This window comes from Homo sapiens, chromosome 12 (genome assembly GCF_000001405.40).
Source record: "Homo sapiens chromosome 12, GRCh38.p14 Primary Assembly".
NCBI lineage: Eukaryota > Metazoa > Chordata > Mammalia > Primates > Hominidae > Homo > Homo sapiens.
This window is the reverse complement of record NC_000012.12, coordinates 62,622,472-62,643,758: the sequence shown is the minus strand read 5'-3', so window position 1 is coordinate 62,643,758 and position 21,287 is coordinate 62,622,472. Positions and strand designations below refer to the sequence as shown.

The 21,287-nt window shown below is 44.0% G+C and overlaps 3 annotated features.

The window, feature by feature from the left end:
• Window positions 1,014-1,214: a silencer, noted in NCBI's record as "peak1753 fragment used in MPRA reporter construct". NCBI's record gives its function as "represses an SCP1 promoter by STARR-seq MPRAs in K562 erythroleukemia cells {active_cell/tissue: K562}" and the evidence as "EXISTENCE:reporter gene assay evidence [ECO:0000049][PMID:32103011]".
• Window positions 12,953-13,577: an enhancer, noted in NCBI's record as "OCT4-NANOG hESC enhancer chr12:63023962-63024586 (GRCh37/hg19 assembly coordinates)". NCBI's record gives its function as "activates a minimal SCP1, AML or CMV promoter by ChIP-STARR-seq in naive and primed H9 embryonic stem cells {active_cell/tissue: H9 hESC(naive and primed)}" and the evidence as "EXISTENCE:reporter gene assay evidence [ECO:0000049][PMID:30033119]".
• Window positions 13,903-14,621: an enhancer, noted in NCBI's record as "NANOG hESC enhancer chr12:63022918-63023636 (GRCh37/hg19 assembly coordinates)". NCBI's record gives its function as "activates a minimal SCP1, AML or CMV promoter by ChIP-STARR-seq in naive H9 embryonic stem cells {active_cell/tissue: H9 hESC(naive)}" and the evidence as "EXISTENCE:reporter gene assay evidence [ECO:0000049][PMID:30033119]".

Genomic DNA, 21,287 nt, shown 5'->3' with positions numbered 1-21,287 from the left:
TTTGGATACCATTATTACCATGGATACCATTAGTAAACACATGAATAATTCAGAGAAAAGAATTACTCCCAAGAGGTATTCTTAAGTGAGAGGGCTAGAGCCTAATCTTGCTGAAGACAGTAAGAATCCAGACTTCCCTTCATCGCTTAAGCATTTTAAGTATGTACTTACAAAGGGTTAGTAAAATGTACCATCTTATAGAGGAAAGTTACTGTGACAGGTGGGATAAGGCATCAGAGCATGCTAATTCTGCTTAGTTCTAAAATCCAGGAAGTTAAAAGTAATCTATAAAATACCAACAAAATATTTTAAATGACCAGGCATGGTGGCTCATGCCTGTAATCCCAGCACTTTGGGAGGCCAAGCGGGGAGGATTGCTTGAGCCCAAGCGTTCAAGACCAGCATGGGCAACATACCAAGACCCCATCTCTATAAAAATTAGCCAGGTGTGGTGATGACTATAGCTGTGCCTATAGTCCCAGCTACTCAGGAGGCTGAAGTGGAAGGATCACTTGCACCTAGGTTGGGGCTGCAGTGAGCTGTGATTGTGCCACTACACTCCAGCCTGGGGGACAGAGGGAGACCCTGTCTCAAAAAAAAAAAAAAGAAGAAAAAGAAAAAACTATTTTGAATGATCCACGGTCTTGATTCACAAAAGCAAGCTAAAAGTGGAAGCTTGGGAAGAACAGAATGGAAGACAGTCATATTAGAATGCTATTATTGTGAAACATCCTCAGCTCTATTCACCTTCACTTGTACCCTAATGCTGATGCTGCCTCCTTCTCCCCAACTCAGTAGTGGAAAACAATGGAAAAAATCCATCCTTGGATTAGATACCAGGAGATTGGGACATTTCTTCTCCATGGAAGATGGAGGAGTCTTCTAACATTCTGTCGTGATTAGCTCTTGAAAGGTGTGGCAGTTGTCTCCCAAAATGGCTGCCAACAATGCTTCCTATGTCTGTATGCAAGTGTTCCTTTTCCCATCAAGAGGTGGAGTTTGTTTCCCCACCCCTTGAGTCTGGTCTGGCTTGTGACTTGCTTTAATAAAATGCAGAAGTGACATTCTGAGACTTCTGAGCTGAGATCTCTGGAGGTCTCCTAGCACCTGCTTTTTCACTCTTGGAAGCCAGTCACCCTGTAAATGTCAGACTAGATTAGTGAGTGAGTAGAGGCCACGTGGGAGAGAACCACAGTGCCCAGACATTGGGAGTGAGGCCCCAAATGAGTCCCTCCAGGTGATAACATAAGGAGAGAGAGGCCTAGCCAGCTCTCAGCTATTTGGGTCATTCCGCTTGAGGCCACAAACATTATAGAGCAGAGAATCATCCCCACTTAGCCCTGCTCAAATTCCTGGCCCACAGATCCATGAACAAATAATAAGGTATAGAGAACCTGGCTCTCGGGGTTTGGGAGTAAAATGGTTAAAAATGTAAATTTTTTAAAGAGAAAATGGCATTGAGAAAATATACTTCTGACGTGGGAAATAATCTTCCATATGCAATGTGGTAGGGTGACTGAAATGGGAGAATCAGTTTTTTAGCAGTAATGCAGGGACGAACTCATAATCCCTACATTCACGTGTATGCTTTTGCTGCTGCTTGCAGCTGGTAATGAGCCTTACTAAGCCAAGAAAGTGATGGCCATTTGGAGGCTATGAGCCTAGAAGGGGAAAACAAAGGTCGCTAATTTAACCACAAATTTATGATAAGACCATCCTATGTTGTACTACTTATGACCTTTGGTACAGTCAAATGGCTCTTTGATTCTAAAGAACTTCACAGTGTTAGGGAAAATAAGACCATTTTCAAATTGTGTGTGTATATTTAAAAATTCTCATTTAAAAATCTCAGCTGGACATGGTGGCTCATGCCTGTAATCCCAATCTCTGTGAGGCTAAAGTGGGCAGATCACGTGAGCTCAGGAGTTTAAGACCAGCCTGGGCAACATGATGAAACCCAGTCCCTACAAAAAAAAATACAAAACTTAGCCAAATGTGGTGGTGCACAACTATAGTCCCCACAACTCAGGAGACTGAGGTGGAAGGATCATTTGAACCCGAAAGATCAAGCCTTCAATGAGCCACGATCGCATCATTGCACTCCAATCTGGGTGAGAGAGCGAGATCCTGTCTCAAAAAAAAATCCCTATCTACAAAATACTTCACACTTATTGCCATCCCAGTTGTTTCCTTTAAATGACAAGCCAAAGAATGAATTACCTTTCCTAGCAATTAGTCTGCCTTTTTAATTGTGTTCTCTATCATTAGAACCCTGAAAACACTGCTGCTCACTCAGTATATTCCCTACATTTTCAGTCTCTTGTCTTTCACTTCTGACAAGATCCTCCAGCTAGCTAACCCTTTTTGCTTTACTGATTTCAATTAGGCTGCCTGCGACACATTCCAAGTATGACTGAGCACAAGGTGGGGGCAGTGTGCACCTCGGTTGTCTTCTGGGGACTGGGTCGGATCAGTTTGTTGGTGCAAGTGGGGCCACGGACAGGGCTTTGGAAGGTCTGAATGCAGACCTAAAGGACAGCCCTTCCCTGAAAGGGCCATACAAATCTGAGCTTTTTCTTTAATCCTCTTTTTAAAATTTGGTATTTGCAAATTTAATCACTATAAAGTAAAAGTAGGTGAGCTCATTCAGAACTGTGGATGGGGGTATAGGAATGGTTGACATGAAAGTGAGAGAAATGTGAAGTTACAGCAGCAAAATGTCCCAAGCTGAGTCACCTCACACCCTTCAAACACTACAGGAAGTGTAGGCTTAGTAACCAAACATCTTTGATTTAAACTAAATAACTGTAAAACCTGAAAATAGTGGTCTCAGCAGTTCTGAATTAGATATTTACCTCCCTACTGAGTTTGGTCAGTGAAAAAAAAAGTTGGGAGAAATTTCTGGAGAACTGTGAAGTTTCCACTATTACTGTCTTAGGTGAAAAAATTAAATTTCTCATTTTGGGATTTTTTTTTTTTTTTCTTGAGACAGGGTCTTGATCTTTTGCCCAGGCTAGAGTACAGTGGTGCGAACATGGCTCACTGCAACCACAAATCCCTAGACTCAAGTGATCCTCCTGCCTCAGCTTCCTAAGTAGCTGGGACTACACGCATGTGCCACCATGCCTGTAGAGACAGGGTCATGCTATGTTGCCCAGGCTGGCCTCAAACTCCTGGGCTTCCACCTCAGCCTCCCAAAGTGCTGGGATTGTAGGTGTAAGCCACCGCACCCAGCTCATTCTTATCATTTTTAAATACAAGTCAGAGAACATTTGGCCAATCTACCAATTGCACCGTAGAATTTGAAGGAAAATTAACAGTGTGGTTGTTCTCATATTTGCAAAAAAGATAAATGCTATCATAAGTATTATATGCCTTAAAATACAATGCAAATAGACTCCGATATTTGTAGATAAAATATTACCAATGTATGTCTTGGATTTGCTTCAAAGTAATAAAGGGAAGGGAGGGGATGGGTTTACAGATGAAACAAGATTGGCCATATTGAAGAAAGTTATGCAAACTTGGAAATAAAAGGATGACTGCATGTTTTTTTCAGTGTCTTTCCTGGAATATCATCTGCCAGCGCCACCCAAGGATTATTTATTTAGTTCTTAGGTTATGGTTCTGCAAACTTTTTCTGTAAAGATCCCAATTGTAAATATTTTAGGCTTTATGAGCCATTTGGACTCTGTCACAGCTACTCAAACCAGCTATTGTTGCACAAAAGCAGCCATAGATAATCTGAACTAAGATCTGTTTTAAGACAGTATAAGGTCAAGCTTTATTCCTTGACTAGAAGAATTAACTCGTAAGAATGTGGCCTGGCCGGGCACGGTGGCTCACGCCTGTAATCCCAGCACTTTGCGAGGCCGAGGCGGGCGGATCACGAGGTCAGGAGATCCAGACCATCCTGGCTAACACGGTGAAACCCCGTCTCTACTAAAAATAGAAAAAATTAGCCGGGCGTGGTGGCGGGCGCCTGTAGTCCCAGCTACCCTGGAGGCTGAGGCAGGAGAATGGCGTGGACCCGGGAGGCGGAGCTTGCAGTGAGCCGAGATAGCGCCACTGCACGCCAGCCTGGGCGGAAGAGCGAGACTCCGTCTCAAAAAAAAAAAAAAAAAAAAAAAAAAAGAATGTGGCCTGATCTTGCCTCTCTGGTGTGAAATGAAGAGAGTCAAACATATGAATGAACACTCATGGCCTATTGCTAAGGAAAATTCAGGTAGATCCATAATCATTTATCTTGTTTTATAAACACAGGGCAATTTATAAATTTGCCAGTTTGTATTCTAAGGTAGTCCTACATTCAGCTTCTAGTCATATTGGTGGTAAGATGCATCGGGGTTGTGATACTGTATTTTCTCAAAACTATAACACTATCAATTTTATAATCTGCCACAAATTGAAAATGGTTAATATTTTTTTCTAATTTAAAAGGAGGAAGTTAACCCATCATTTGCCACACTCTAGTCATGAGGCAAAGGAAAGCATACATGCAATCTGTTCTTACAATTAACAAAGTATCTCATAATAAAAAAGTTTATTATGCCCCATGCTGGCTACTTGGTTTTAATTCTTGTATCGCCCGCTCAGGTAGATGTTATCATTTTTTGCAGATGAGGAAATAATTTCATTCTATTGTGATCTGAGAACATACTTTGTATGATTTCAATCCTTTTAACATATTGGTTTGTTTTGTGGCTTAACATACGATCTATCCTGGAGAAGGTGCCATGTGCACATGAGAAGAATGTGTATTCTGCTGTTGTTGGCTGTTCTGTAGATGTCTGTTAGACCTAGTTAGTTCATCATACTGTCCAAGTCTTCTATTTTCTTATTGATCTTCTACCTAATTTTTCTATCAATTATTGAAAGTAGGGTATGAAAGTCTCCAACTATTACTGTTGAGTTGGCTGTTTCTTCCATTCTGTCTGTCCTTGCTTCATGTATTTTAGGGTGGGGGCTCTGTTGTTAGGTGCATCTGTGTTTATAATTGTTTTCCTGATGGATTGGCCTTTTTTAATTGTAAAGTATCCCTTGTCTCTGCCAGCAATTTTTGTCTTAAAGTCTATTTTGTTACATATTTGTACAGCCACTCCTGCCCTTATTTGGTTACTTTTTGCATAGTACATCTTTTCCCATCCTTTCACATTCAGCCTGTATGCATTTTTGAATCTAAAGTGTATTTTATAGAGAAATATAGTTGAGTCTTTTTTTTTAATTCATTATGCCAATCTCTACCTTTTGATTGGAATTCTCAGTCCATAGAAACTTAACCTGATTAACGATTAAATAGGAATTACATCTGCCATTTTGCTATTTGTTTTCTATGTGTCTGTCTTTTTACTCCTTTATTTTTCCATTACTGCCTTATTTTGTGAGAAATAATTTCCAGTATACCATTTTAATTTCCTGTTGTTTCTTTATTTTTTATTTTTTGCAACTCACTTTTACTGTTTCTTTATAAACTTCCTCTCCCATGGAGGAATATATTGTTATAGTCATTAGCTTATTTCTTTTTTTTAAACTATGCTAACAGCAATGGAGCCAAGAGGAGGGAAAACATAAGTTACAATAGAAAGGCACTTAGAACCTGTTAAAATACTGATATCCTGGAACATACAACAACAAACCAACGACAACAATGACAAGTATACTGGCCCTTCCAAACCTGGTCCATCACTGAATCACATGCTGAGCTCACTTCCAGTGCCCTGTTCCTCTGCTCTGCTGGAGTCACAAACCCATAGCACCCCCCCCCCCCGCCCCCAACCAGGGACTTAAGGCCTGGGGCCCTCACAGGGGTAGGTGGTGCTCGGGTCCTAGGTGGGGCCCAAGAAAGGAGACCAGCTCCCTCCTACCTTGCTCACAGCCCCTTTGAGGGGCAGAGCCAGCACGGCCGGGCCTTTTCAAGACTGGGGTCCAAAGCCCAGCAGCAAGGTGGGTGGGGTCAGCGTGACTCCTCTGGGACAGAAGGGCAGTTCAGGAAAGGGTGGGGTCAGCAGAGCTGCCTAAAGGAACCATACTGAGGACCCCACTGCTCTCCTAACAGAGTTATTTTCTTAATGGTTGTCCTGAAGATTACAATAACATCTTAAAACAATATAGTTTGGATTAATACAAACTTAATTTCAATAGTAAACAAAAACTTAGCTGCAATATATACTTCCATTTCCTTCCTTCTCTTCTGTGCTATTTGTCATACAAATTACAACTCTCTACAGTATAAGCCTGTCAACAGTTTAGTAATTATTGTTTTATGTAGTTGTCTTTTAAATTATATGGGAGAAGAAAAGAATTAGAAACAAAATACATTTCTACTGCCTTTTATGGTTTCTGTGTATTTACCTTTACCAGCATCCTTTATTTCTTCATGTGGATTCAAGTTATTCCCTAGTGTCCCTTCATTTTAGCCTGAAGGACTCCCCTTAGTATTTCTTGTAGGCCAGGTATATGGCTCATGCCTGTAATCCCAGCACTTTGGGAGGCCAAGGTGGGAGGATCACTTGAGGCCAGGAGTTCAAGACCAACCTGGACAACATAGTGAAACCCCATGTCTACAAAAAACTTAGCCAGTGTGGTGGCTCATGCCTGTAATCCCAGCACTTTGGGAGGCCAAGATGGGTGGATCACTTGAGCTCAGAAGTTTGAGACCAGCCTGGACAACATATCAAATCCCCATCTCCACAAAAAAATACAAAAATTAGCCGGATGTGGCGTCATGTACCTGTAGTCCCAGCTACTTGGGAGGCTGAGGCAGAAGGATCGCTTGAGCCGGGGAGACGGAGGTTGCAGTGAGCAGAGATCATGCCTGCACTTCAGCCTGTGTGATAGAACGAGACTCTGTCTCAAAAAAAAAAAAAAGTTTACAAATAAACCGGGTGTGCACCTGTAGTCCTGGCTGCGTGAAAGGGTGAAGTAGGAGGATCACTGAACCCAAGAGTCTGAGGCTGCAGTGACCCATGATCACACCACTGTGCTCCAGCCTGGGCAGCAGAGTGAGACCCTGTCTCCAAAAAAAAAAAAAAAAAAAAAAAAGCATTTCTTGTAAACAGGTCTGCTAGGGCTGCAAACCTATTCTGCCTCACTGTTGGCTGCTAGTCTGCTGGTACTCAGAGCTGTCATGGTTGAGAAGCTGTTAGTGTTCAAGCCTACCACAGATCTGGAAAGAAGGGTAAGGAGATTGGTCAAGTAAAAATGTTACATACAGGTGAGGTGTCACATGCCTGTAATCCCGACTATTCAAAGATGCTGAGGTGAGAAGATCGCTTGAGCCCAGGAGTTTGAGACCAGCCTGAGCAACTTTAGAGGCAAAGTCTTGCCTCTAAAAATAAAAAATAAAAATTAGCTGGGCATGGTGGCACGCACCTGTAGTCCCACCTACTCAGAAGACTGAAGTGGGAGGATCGTTTGAGGCTGCAGTGAGCTATGATTGCACCACTGCACTCCAGCCTGGGTGACAGAGACCCTGTCTCTTTAAAACTAAATGTCACAAAGCTCCCTATTTTTACTGAGGTTCAGCCATTTTTCTTGAATACACATTCCTCAGATTGTTGCAGTCCTTTGGTTAATTTCCAGAGTTCTGAAAAAGTTGGTTCTGGCAATTTTTGCCAGAATTTTCTTTGTATGGAGGAGTAGATTTTCAGAGGTTTTTATTCTGCCATTCTGAAAGCCCTTTTCCACATGAAAAAATAAAAGTTCAGGTAGGTAAAGTAGTTTCCCATGGACACAGTGCCAAGTAGCACCAAAGCCAATATTTCAAATCTAAAGCTTATATGTAGTCGACACCCAACTGCCAATTACCACTCCAGTTTTCTGTAACTTCTCATTAGATAATAAGGGCTAGTCACAAAACCTCCATTGTGTACACCCTTATTTGGATGGCATTTTTAACAAAGCCCTTTCACATTGAATCCCCATCCCTGAACTTTGCACTGAGACATACTAACTAATCAATGTCATCTGCTGACCCACCAGCACCATTTTCTATAAAATGTGTTTTTGTCACAGGCATCTTATTTTCCTCTCATCTAGTTTTGACTCTTGCTCAGCTGTAGCTCTGCCAACAGCTCCTTAGCATGCACTATGAAGGTGTATGTTGTCAAGGCTTGTCTTCATGGTGACATTGAGTACCAGACCCCATTATAAGGCCCTTACACAAGCAGAATGAATGGTGTGTTACCCCACGGGTTTTAACCATAGTACCTGAATCTTCCAACTTTTCAGTAAATAGTGAGGAGCAAGTAAGATTTGGCTCTCTATAAATGCCAACTAATAGTCAAAAAGGACAGATAGTCAGGGTCTGGAAGAACTGAACGAAATTATGTTCAAATCCTCTTGAACTAGAAGTATGCTTAAAACAGATCCTACATTCTTGAGCAGTGGTCTGTAATAAAAGTAATGGTAAAAGGTAAATCTTTTACCAGGGTGCCCAGTTGCACTATTTGTTATAAAACCGAATGTGTCTGGATGGAAAGTCATTTGCTGTGGTGGTATCAATATTACAGCTCTTGACATCTCTCTCTATGGGCTCAGTTGACCTGAAATAAGATGACCATTTCACATACTAACAGGGCATTTTTCGATGATCTGTTTGACCTTTGCCTCTGGGCTCAGCAATAAGAGGAGTAATAAGATGACATTTTTAGCAGAACAAAGGAACAAGAAACCCAAAGAATTTAAGCTTAAGGGAGCTTAAATACAACAATGAAATAGCTGTGAACATTTAGTTAATACCTGTCCCTTCCTGCAGTGCTTCTGTAGCTTGGCTGCATGTTAACATCACCTGGGAGCATTAAAAAAACCCTGTCTACCAGGTCAGACCTCAGACCAATTAAATCAGAATCCCCCAGGGAGGGACCCAATCATCAGTATCTTTTGAATGTTTTGGCCAGGCACGGTGGCTCACGCCTGTAATCCCAGCACTTTGGGAGGCCGAGGCGGGCGGATCACCTGAGGTCAGGATTTCAAGACCAGCCTGACCAACATGGAGAAACCCGTCTCTACTAAAAATACAAAATTAGCCAGGTGTGGTGGCACGTGCCTGTAATTGCAGCTACTTGGGAGGCTGAAGCAGGAGAATCGATTGAACCCAGGAAGTGGAGGTTGCGGTGAGCCGAGATCACACCACTACACTCCAGCCTGGGCAACAAGAGCGAAACTCCATCTCAAAAAAAAAAAGTTTTCTAGCTGATTCTAAGGTGAGAAACACTGTGTAAAGATACTAAGGACACACCTCTAAAGTAACGTTTGCAGACTTATCAGACAAAAGATACAGGACATCTACTTGGATTTGAATTTCAGATAAAGAATTTTTTAAATTAAGTATGTCCCTTGCAATATTTGGGTTGTACTCATACTAAAAAACTACTATCATCTGACATTCAAATTTAAATGGGTGTCTTCTATTTTATCTGGGAATCTTACACAGGACAAAACTGAAAAATCAAACAAGAGGGGTAGAAATAAAGACTCAGCAACAGGGAAATTTCACTGGGTATAGGTTCCTGTCTCAAAGAACAAGAACACCTGGAATATAACAAAAAGAAAAGTTGTGCCAGGCCAGTACCATCCTGAGGGAGAGTTCCCAGGTCACGGAGGAGGAGGGAGGACTTCAGGACTGACTTCTGGACAGACCTCCTTAGTACCTGTATTCGTGTGCCATAATAAAATATCACGGACTGGGTGGCTAAGGTGCCAGCAGGTTCAGTTTCTCCTGAGGCTTCTTTGGTTGGCTTGCAGATCGCCTCCCTCTCGTCATGTCATTTCTCCGTGTAAACAAATCCTCTGTGTGTCTGAATTTCCTTTTCTTCAAAGGACACTAACCAGATTGGATTAAGGCCCACCCATGTGACCTCATTTGACCTTAATTACCTCTTTATAAAGGCCCTATCTTCAGATACAGTCACATTCTGAGATACTCGCAGTTTTGACTCTCATATAAATTTTGAACACATTTCAGCCCTAAACAGTGTCCCTCACTGGACTGGAGTCCTGAGGGGCTATGAGGCGGTTAGGTTGGTAGGGCAGTCAAGTATTATTGTTCTGATATCGTCTTCCCAGGGCCACCCCAGCCCAGCCACCCTCACCCCATCTCCTGCCATCAGGCTGTGCAAGAGAGTGACTGTGCCCCTGAGCCACCAGGGAAGGGAAAACAGTTTTGTTTGTTTTTTGTTTGTTTTTTTAGACAGAGTCTTGCTCTGTCGCCTAGGCTGGAGTGCAGTGGCGCGATCTCGGCTCACTGCAACATCTGCCTCCCAGGTTCAAGCAATTCTCATGCCTCAGCCTCTAGAGCGACTGGAATTACAGGTACGCACCACGACGCCCGGCTAATTTTTGGTTTTTTTGTTTTTGTTTTTTAGTAGAAGCAGGGTTTCACCATGTTGCTCAGGTTGGTCTCGAACTCCTGGCCTCAAGTGATCCGCACCCCTCGGTCTCCCAAAGTGTTGGGATTACAGGTGTGAGCCACCGCGCCCGGAAAAGGGGCATTTTTTATGGAAGTTACAGAAAGGAGGGTTAGGAGGGCACATGTGGAAACTGCTTTTTTCTGGGGAGGAGAGGGGAGGGGAGGAACATCACCAAATAGGAGGATGATAAGGGTAAAATGGAAGAGCATGTTACACCAACAGGGACCACATGCAAAAGAAAGAATATTGCAAATGATACCCACTTCTCCTGAGGCTGAGGAAACTAACAAAGGGAGTAGGTAGGATACAAGAAACAAATCACGATTTCTACAGCAATGGAAGAACTGTAGACACACTCTCCACACCACTCCTACAGCTGACTTCCCCCGTTTCTTTTGTCCCTTTCAGAAAAAAACAAAAATGCCTCAAGTGTTATGAGCTTTGCTCAGGAGTTGGAGAAAAGACAGCTCTGTCTTCATTTTATTGAAGTCACGGGCTTGGTCAGTTTTCAAGAACTCGATTCACTGTCTCCGAGCAGCTGACCTGGGTTTACTGCTCTGGGGCATGAATATGCATGGCTAGGGGACCCAGATGTGCGAGGCTGCAGGGGGATTCTCAGGACATGCAGGCTCACATGCACACACGCGGGCCTGCCAGGGTTTGAGGCGCTGCCAACGGGAGGAGCAGCCGCGAGCCTGCCCTCCCGGGAGTTGTTCTACAGAGTCTTTGGCCACTGCCTACCCGGGGCTCCCCCGGGCAGGGGAGGCGCGGACGGGCGTGCAGGGCCTTCTTCCCAGACACCTGAACCACAGGTGGAGAAGAGTCTGGGGGAGGACTGGGTATTTACTTAGGGTTTTAGACGGAGGGGACAGCACATCACTCTTTCCGTTTTGTCCTATTCTGTATTTACAAAGAGCGTGTGGTCGGGCAAAGGGGCGAGCCGAACCAGCTACCAATAAAGGGAGAAATGCAGCCCCCAAGGCGCTCAACTTTCCGGGGTGGTAGAAACGTGGAGGTCCCGTGTCTGCTGCAGAGCCGTGACCCAGGCTCCCCGCGCGCCTTTGTCCCCGCACGCCGCCCACGCTCCTCTGCCCTCAAGGTCGCGGCGCAGGCGGCCGCTGTCGCTCGGGCACGACCCATTCGGCCGCCTGGCCCGCAGCCTCTCGCTGCCATTCCAACACGAATGAAAGCCTCCTTAATAAGAGTGTAAATAAAAGCCAGGCTGAGAAATGAGTTTTCCGTCCCAGCAATCACCGGCCGAACCTCAGCTGTAAATAGCCTCGGGGAGCCACCTGGGGAGTCCCGGAACCTGGGGGATCCAGGCCATCATCTCAGCAGCGCCGCCAACAGCTGGGAGCGGCTGGAACCTGGACCCGGGAGGCAGCGCCAGTCCCGCTCCGGCACTGTGGCAGGAAATCACTCGGGGCCTACACCCCCGCCCCCGCGCTGGAGGACCCTCCACCCTCGCAGTGCTACTCCTTGGGGGCCGAGTGCGGCCGACAGAATAATCTCAGTCTGCGGTGTCCTTGGGAGGGACGGCGGCCAGGCCCCCTAATTTATGGTCATCGGTGGAATGGCTTTAACATGATTTATCTGACCGCGGAGGAGATGGCAAAAGCCTCGAGAAGAATGATTGGCCGTCCAGGCTTTGTGCATTTCTGATTGGCCTTATTAATTTAGAACAGAGCCAGGGAGCAGCCTCCCGGCTGAGCCAGAAAAATCAACTTGGCAACAGCCTCCACGTAGAGTCAGTTTTGGGGCTGGCAAAGGTTTAACTTTTGCCGAAACTGAAGGAATAATGTATTGCTTTAAGCAGTCGGGGAGTTTGACAGAAGGTGCTAGCACACTGATTAAAGCAGATTTAGTCTGAAAGAGAGTGAAGATCATTTGGTTTGACTGATTCCTTTTTTTCTTCTTCGTGTTTGTACAGACCAAAGACATCAGTGTTTGGTGGGTGGAAGGGAGGAAGAGTGTTTTCTTGTTTTTATTGTTAATGTTTGACTACTGGGGGAGAAACACAACACTTATGGCTTAGAAGGGAAGAAATTTGGGGAAATCAGGAAGCAAGTAAGTATTGGAACATGCTTTTTAAAATGATACATTTCACAATCCTTGGGAAAAATATTTCTTGCCTTTTGAGTTCTCTTCATACATCATAACTAATATTTATGGAATCTATAAATTATTGGATAAGCACACCAAATACACCACACTTCACAAGGTCATTATTCTGTGTTACAGTATTAACTGTCCTTTAAATGTCACCATTGAGTGATGCAACTTTAGTCCCATGAATAAAGGACTAAATAAGAATTTTAGGGAGTTATCATATTTAATGGAAAATATTTTCATACGAATGAATGACAAATTCAGTAGGGGTGGATATGTAATTTAAATGTATATCCATTCATCATATTTATCTGTATGTGTAGGACTCAGATGTAGACATATAGCACTAGGCAACCTCCAAATATAATCCTTAACACTCTGTTCTTCAGGTGGACCAGAACAAAGCCAGAGAGAGCAAGAGAATGTGATTGCTTGAGGGAGGGGGCAGGTTGTTGTCACACATGCAGTGGCACAATCATTTCTTTTCTTTATAGTTCTAACCAGAAAAATAGACTGGGAGCAGCTGAGTACCAATTTATTTTGCTGCCTGAACCGATGAGTGGTTGCCTTAAATGTCATTGAGTTGGAAGGTTGTGCATTTCATTCGCTGCCAGGTTACAGGAAGCTTTGAAGCAGGTCTAGAAAGCCATCAGTAATTGTCTTGCCACCTATCAAGGTGGGCAAGTGCAATCCTGCCGGGTGGAATTGGCTCAGTGGGGGATGAAAGCTGCCTGTCATCGCTGACTAGTCTCATCAAATGCTGCTTGAGAAGAAACAAAGGTGGCCCATTTAGTCTCATTAAAGAGCAAAGTGGAGTGGAAGGTAAGGATTACCTCCCAGGACAACAAAAACGGATTTGGGGGTTGTTTGGGCCACAAGCCACAGCATGTGCATACAACACAGAGGTCCTTTGTCCAGTTCCCTAAATGTGTAACACTCATGTGAAGTATAGTAATAGAGGTAAGAAGAGAGTGCTGTGGAAAATCAGGGGACAGAGCATTTCAGAATCTGTAATGGTCAAAGAAGGTTTTCCATACATGCTGGGTGCTGTACTGGGTGAAGGATGAGTAAGAGTTGGCCAAGGAGAAAAGGCAAAGGTCATGCTTGCTATGGTGGAACACAGGGCATAAAGGAGAGGAGACAAGATGGAGATGACCCACACTGCCCAACCCTGTGTAATGCCAAATGAGGATCCTCAAAGTATAACTTCAAGATGTGTCTCACCTCTTTGTGAAACTACATGTTTATCAGGGACCAGAAATTTCACTCCCTAATAAAGATCAAGTCAGGTGTCTCCTCTCATTTTCTAAGAAAAAATAATGCGAAACTCTAGATGTTTCTTTAAGCACAGCTAGCCATAATGATAACAGGACAAGCCAAAATAATAAAAAAACACTAAACACTGAAATCCTAGTATAATTGTTTTAGCTTAAAGTAATCCTACTTCATTAATATGACACATGGCACAGAAACAAATCAGAATACTGCATGCAGTCTCCTCAGCTCTCCACAACTTGAACTCTGGTGGTTTTCCTCTAAGGACAGACAAGCTAGCAGTCACCAGCAACATTCCCTAGATCCGGCACAATGGTCCGGTTTTGCCCCTCTGCTTTGTCCTGCTGGGCTGCTCTTGGGACCCTGCGGGAAAGTCATCTGTCATCACAACAAAAATCAGCTCAGTTCATTTGCATTCATTTGCTCACTGGGTAGCTCCCTCCCAGGCCACCCAGTGGGTGCTTCTCTTTCTTCTTTAGCCTCCTCCTCCTCCCTCATTGTTCAAATCATTGTCGAGCATCAGAATTATGACTGGAGAACTGACTGTTGCCCTCAGTCAAAAAAAGAAAAGAAAAGAAAAGAAAAGAAAAGAAAGAAAGAAAGAAAGAAAGAAAGAAAGAAAGAAAGAAAGAAAGAAAGAAAGAAAGAAAAGAAAGAAAGAAAGAAAAACACCTCTTTTGTCTTGCTTCAGTCAACCTCATGGCTATGTGGATGTGTTTCTAGCAGCCCTACTTTTCTCTATAAAGATGTAATGCTACTAATTTTGTCTTCGAAAATGCACATTCTTTAGTCGTGGATTCTAGGCCATCATAAACAGCATTTCCAAGACCTCTATTCTCATATACTGCCTATCTTACCCGAAAGTACTTCTTCCCTTTTTGGCTGTGTTATTCAATACCTCTCTGTGCGATTTGGAATTGAGCCTTTGAGGAGGTTTTCTTGGAGGACTCACAGTACTTGTGTATGAAGGGCAGAAGCCTGGATAGCCCAGGGGCTTGCCAAGGGATTCCAGATGTGCTCATAAATAGCAGTTCTAGGTAACTCCGACAGGATGGGTGTTTTTATTCATTCATTTTGCAAACGTTACAGAAGCTCTTCCATATATTTCAAGGGTTATGGAGATGAATAAAATGAATCTACTCTAGGGAAGCAGACACCTAAATTTGTAATGCTCACATGAGATAGTACAATAATAGAGGTAAGAAGAGAATGCTGTGGAAAATCAGAGGAAAATCAGACTCTCAAAGTGTTTAAGAGTCTGCAAGGATCAAGGAATGTCTCCCACAAACGCTTATGACTGCACTGGGTCATGAAGGATGAAGGAGAGAGCTGGTTAACAGAAGGAGTGAAAGGTTGGCCATAGGTAGAAAAAAAAAGGCTTAAATGGGAGGAAAAGTAGGACAGGTGGAGAGGAGAGGCAAGAAGGAAGAGTCTGTGGGCTGAAAGAAAGAATGAACAAAATGGAAAAAATCGGCCAGGCACGGTGGCCCACACCTGTAATCCTAGCACTTTGGGAGGCCAAGGTGGGCAGATTGCCTGAGGTCAGGAGTTCAAGACCAGCCTGGCCAACCAACATGGTAAAACCCCATCTCTACTAAAAATACAAAAATTAGCCAGGTGTGGTGGTGCGTGCCTGTAATCCCAGCTACTGGAGAGGCTGAGGCAGGAGAATCACTTGAACCCAGGGAGGCAGAGGTTGCAAGTGAGCTGAGATCATGCCATTGCCCTCCAGCCTGGGTGACAGAGCAAAACTCTGCTCAAAAAAAAAAAAAAAAAAGGAAAAAATGGACATGGACAAGAGTGAAAAAAGGAGCTAGACCAGGTGTGGTGGCTCATTCCTGTAATCCCAGTGCTTTGGGAGGCTAATGTGGGAGGACTGCCTAAGGCCAGGAGTTCAAGACCTACCTAAGAAATAAAGAAAGACCCTCATCTCTACAAAAATTAAAATTAAAATTAAAAATTAAAAAAATAAAAGTAGCTAGGCTCACTCCAAGGGCAAACACTACTAATCATCTCACCACTATCTTTCTCACAAATGATGTTGACCTCCAGGAAATGAGTGACTCAGTGTTCACAATATGCTATTAAGAGCTTCAGACAGGTATGGAAGGGGGAAAATAACACCCAGGCATTGAAAAAGTTTGGAATACATTGAAATGATATTAGCTGTTATCTGTTATTATCTATGGGTAGTGGGATTATTCATGATTTTAATTCCTTCTTTTTACTTATCTATATTTTCTATTCTATGGTGAATGTGAACACTTGCAAATAAACTATTTTAATGGGCTACCAGTGATCTTTAATGAAAACACATTGTATTAGTCCGTTTTTATACTGCTATATAGAACTGCCCAAGACTGGGTAATTTATAAAGGAAAGAGGTTTAATTGACTCACAGTTCAGCATGGCTGGGGAGGCCTCAGGAAACTTAACCATGGCAGAAAGCAAAGGGGAAGCAATGCACCTTCTTCACAAGGCAGCAGGAAGGAGAATGAATGCAGGAGGAATTACCAAACACATAAAACCATCAGCTCTTGTGAGAACTCATCCACTGTCACAAGAACGGCATGGAGGAAACTGCTCCCATGATTCAATTGCCTCCACCTGTTCGCTCCCTTGACACACAGGGATTATGGGGATTACAATTCAAGATGAGATTTTGGGTGGGGACACAGCCAAACCATATCACACATTCTAATTAAAGGGTTCCTAAAGTTAAGTTCTTGATAATGACATTTGATCCACATGTGAAAAGGTAAAACTGAAAGATTAAGACTATCTTATTCAGTAGGCAGGTTTCGCAGAGATAGTGTGGGGTATGTCTCATTTCTATGTATGTAAATATTACCTCCGCCACCTTCCTCCAACCCACGAGGGCAGAAACAAACCTACAATCATCTTAGTAGCCCCTGCTCCTAGCACATTATCTGGTACAAGTAGATGCATGTTTAATAACTATTGTTTAATGAAAGAATGCATATTTGAGAAAATAGAACCCTCAAGCATAGCCCACATAAAAAAGGAGGTTCAGCATTTCCTTGCCATGTAACTAACTTACTTCATGACCTCAGAATTTGGGGGATTTGGGGGATTGTCTAGATGAAAACGAACCCCACGATAGAAAGCCTTTTGTGGGAGGCAGCTTCCGATGCGGCTCCCTGTGATCCTGCCTTCTTGTATTCACTTCTTTGTGTAAATCCCTTTCTTTTGCCTATGGACTGGACCTAGTGACTTCCTTTTTTTTTTTTTTTTTGAGACGCAGTTTCACTCTTTTTGCCCAGGCTGGAATGCAGTGGCGCAATCTCGGCTCACCACAACCTCCACCTCCCGGTTCAAGCGATTCTCCTGCCTCAGCCTCCCAAGTAGCTGGGATTAGAGGCACGTGCCGCCACACCTAGCTAATTTTGTATTTTTAGTAGAGATGGGGTTTCTCCAAGCTGGTCTCAAACTCCCGACCTCAGGCCATCTGCCTGCCTTGGCCTCCCAAAGTGCTGGGATTACAGGTGTGAGCCACCGTGCCCGGCTGTGACTTGCTTCTAAGAAACAGAATATTCAAATAGTGATGGGCAATTACTGCTAAGATTAAAACACAACAGACCTTCACTTCCATCTTGCCAGCACTCTCTCTTGCTCACATTTTCTTTCGTCCTCCTGCTTGCTTGATCTGATTAAAAACCAGCTGCCATGTTGTGAGATGCTCAACAAAGAGGCCCAGGTGACAAGGAATTGACCAGCTGCCCATGATAAACTGAATCTTGCCAGCTACCATGTGAATGAGATGACTACCCCATTGAAAGAGACCCAGCACCAGCCTGCTTGTATTCCTGTCCCTCAGAAAACTGCAAGATAACTAAGTGATAGGTAACTAAGATACCTTTCTTGCTTTTTTTTTTAAGCTATAGTCCTTTTCTAGTGTCAACTGTGCAGTTAGTTACTCAGAAAATTCACTCATCAATTTACTGTGATGTGAGGGAATCACTGGTTTGCAAACTACCTACAGGGTAATGTTTTAGATACTCTACAGCAATGTCCACTCCTGTGGATACTTCATGTAAAGGGACAGCCTCTCACAGGCCCCACTGCCTCTCATTATTGAAGGCAGCTGGCTCCTTCCTTAAACTGTAATCCTTTTTATCCTGCTTCCAGACTCAACCTTTTTATCTCAGGGGTGGAAAAACTTCAACCCTCGCCTTGACAAAATGAGTATAATCAGGCTTAGAAAGTGGAAATGGTTTGCTCACTTTCACACCACTAATCAGAGTCGGAGTTAGGAGATGAAACAGTAAGGTCTCGCCAGGCATGGTGGTGTGTGCCTGTAGTCCTAGCTACATGGGAAGCTGAGGTGGAAGGATCACTTGAGCCCAAGAGTGTATCTTCCTGCTCCTGGCCCAGGACAGATATCTGACCCTAATTCCATGCTCACAATCTGTGATGTGAGAGAACATTGCAAATTGAGCAATAGCTTCATATCTCTAACCGGAACTCCTAGGTTACCTCACCCTAGAGAGCGAGGCTTGCTTCTGTTTGGGTGCCAGGCTCACTCTTTCCCTGTGGACTTGCTGTCTTGAGGCTTGGTAAACCACAACTCAGAAACATTACCCTGAATCCTCCAAAGACTTTTTTTCCATGTAGTCAGCCTCTGCTCAGCCATGCAGAACTGCCTGGGATCTCAGAGCATGTTCACTGCTCTGTCCAACTTGATACACACTTAATACATTTACAGTTTGCTTCACCTTTAGTTCCCCTTTATTCCACCAGATTTATAATTTGGGGACAATACTTCCCATGTAGTAAATTCATGTTCACTAGTTGATATATCAAATGAATATGGTTTGATCTTGAATAAATACTTAAACTCAATTTAAACTTGGTTTGTTGGCTTACATTCTCCTGGTTAAGTTTTATTAGTGAAGCTATCAAACATATTAGTTTTAATAGTTGACAGGAAGTTTTTCAGTTGCATCACTGTGAAATTACTTGGGTTTTAAAAATTACATTGAAGGCCGGGAGCGGTGGCTCATGCCTGTAATCCCAGCACTTTGGGAGGCCGAGGCAGGTGGATCACAAGGTCAGGAGATCCAGACCACCCTGGCTAACACGGTGAAACCCCATCTCTACTAAAAATACAAAAAATTAGCTGGGCGTGGCGGCGTGCGCCTGTAGTCCCAGCTGCTGGGGAGGCTGAGGCAGGAGAATGACATGAACCCGGGAGGCAGAGCTTGCAGTGAACCGAGATCACGCCACTGCACTCCAGCCTGGGCGACAGAGCGAGACTCTGTCTCAAAAAAAAAAAAAAAAAAAAATTACATTGAAGCCAGCCATTGCTAAGGGAGATAAGTCTATACAGATAATCTGGCACCTGACTTGGGAATATTACACAAGCCACTGCTCATGAACTTGTGAAATCAAAGGCCTGCCAAGCCAGATAGAATTATACCAAGTCCACAACAGGAAGGAAAAGGGAGCAAAATAATTTAAAATGAAAGCATTCTTCTCTGTGTTCAATCCCATTCTACCTTGTGAATGAAGAAACACCTGTCATTACTTGTGACTTTTTTTTTTCTGAGACAGGGTCTTACTCTGTCACCCAAGCTGAAATGCAGTGGCACAGTCACAGCTCACTGCAGTCTCGACCTCCTGGGCTCAGGCAATCTTCTCACCTCAGCCTCCTGGGTACCTGGGACTAGAGATGTGCACCACCACACCTAATGTTTTGTAGAGATGGGGTTTCACCATGTTGCCCAGGCTAGTCTCAAACTCCTGCGCTCAATCAGTCTTCCCTCACCTCGGCCTCCCAAAGTGCTGGGATTGCAGGTGTGAGCCATTCAGTCCAGCCTAATTGTGACTTTCATCACTATACTTTTACAGGGTTTTTGTTTGTTCTGTTTGTTTTGAAACAGGCTACTCTGTCACCCAGGCTGGAGTACAGTGGTGTGATTACGGCTCTCTGTAGCCTCAAACTCCCAGGCTCAAGCAATCCTCCCACCTCAGCCTCCCAAGAACTTGGTCTACAGACATGTGCCATCACGCCTGGCTAATTTTTTGTAGAGATAGGTTCTCCCTACGTTGCCCAAGCTGGTCTCTAACTCCTGGGCTCAAGCAATCCTCCCACATCAGCCTCCTAAAGTGCTGGGATTATGGGCTTGAGCTACCACTCCTGGTCCTTTTACAGCTAAGGATGAGTCATAAATATGATTTCATGGCCGGGCGCGGTGGCTCACGCCTGTACAATCCCAGCACTTTGGGTGGCTGAGGCGGGCGGATCACGAGGTCAGGAGATTGAGACCATCCTGGTTAACACGGAGAAACCCCGTCTCTACTAAAAATACAAAAAAATTAGCCGGGCATGGTGACGGGCGCCTGTAGTCCCAGCTACTCAGGTGGCTGAGGCAGGAGAATGGCGTGAACCCGGGAGGCGGAGCTTGCAATAAGCCGCGATCCCGCCACTGCACTCCAGCCTGGGTGACAGAGTGAGACTCCATCTCAAAAAAAAAAAAAAAAAAAAAAAAGAGATTTCACTTGACTCTCTGACATAGTTTGGATGTTTGTCACCTCCAAATCTCATGTTGAAATATGACCCCCCATGTTGGAGGTGGGGGGAAGTGTTTTGGTCATGAGGGTGGATCCCTCATGAATGCCTTGGTGCCTTCCCCACAGTAATAAGTGAGTTCTCACTGTATTAGTTCATGTGAGAGCTGGTTGTTTAAGAACCTGTCTGTTTTTGGCCGGCCGCAGTGGCTCACGCCTGTAATCCCAGCACTTTGGGAGGCCGAGGCGGGCAGATCACGAGGTCAGGAGATCAAGACCATCCTGGCTAACATGGTGAAACCCTGTCTCTACTAAAAATACAAAAAACTAGCCGGCCGTGGTGGCGGGCACCTGTAGTCCCAGCTACTTGGGAGGCTGAGGCAGGAGAATGGAGTGAACCCGGGAGGTGGAGCTTGCAGTGAGCCAAGATTGCACCACTGCACTCCAACCTGGGCAACAGAGCGAGACTCCGTCTGGCAAAAAGAAAAAAAAAAAAAAGAAAGAAAAAAAAAGAACCTGTCCATTTTTTTTTTGCTCCCTCTCCTGCTGTGTAACATACCTGCTCCCTCTTTGCCTTACGCTGTGATCGTAGACTTCTTGATGCCTTTGCAGAAGCAGATGCCAGCAGTATCCTTCTTGTATAGTTTGCAGAACCATGAGTCAAAACAAACCTCTTTTCTTTATAAGTTACCCAGTCTGAGGTATTCCTTCATAGCAAAAAAAATGAACTAAGACACTCTCCCATCTCAGGGTTAGGATTATCGTAACACAGATGAGGAAGGAGAGGCTCAGGGAAGTTAAGTAACTTTCTCATTGATACATAAGCATCAGGACCAAAATGTGTTAGGACCAAAAACTCCTAGACCTTCTAACCTTAAACCAGGACTCTTTCCACCACTAGAATGATTCTCATCCTTTAATATGCATCAGAATTATCTGGAAAGCTTGGTGAAACAGAATGCT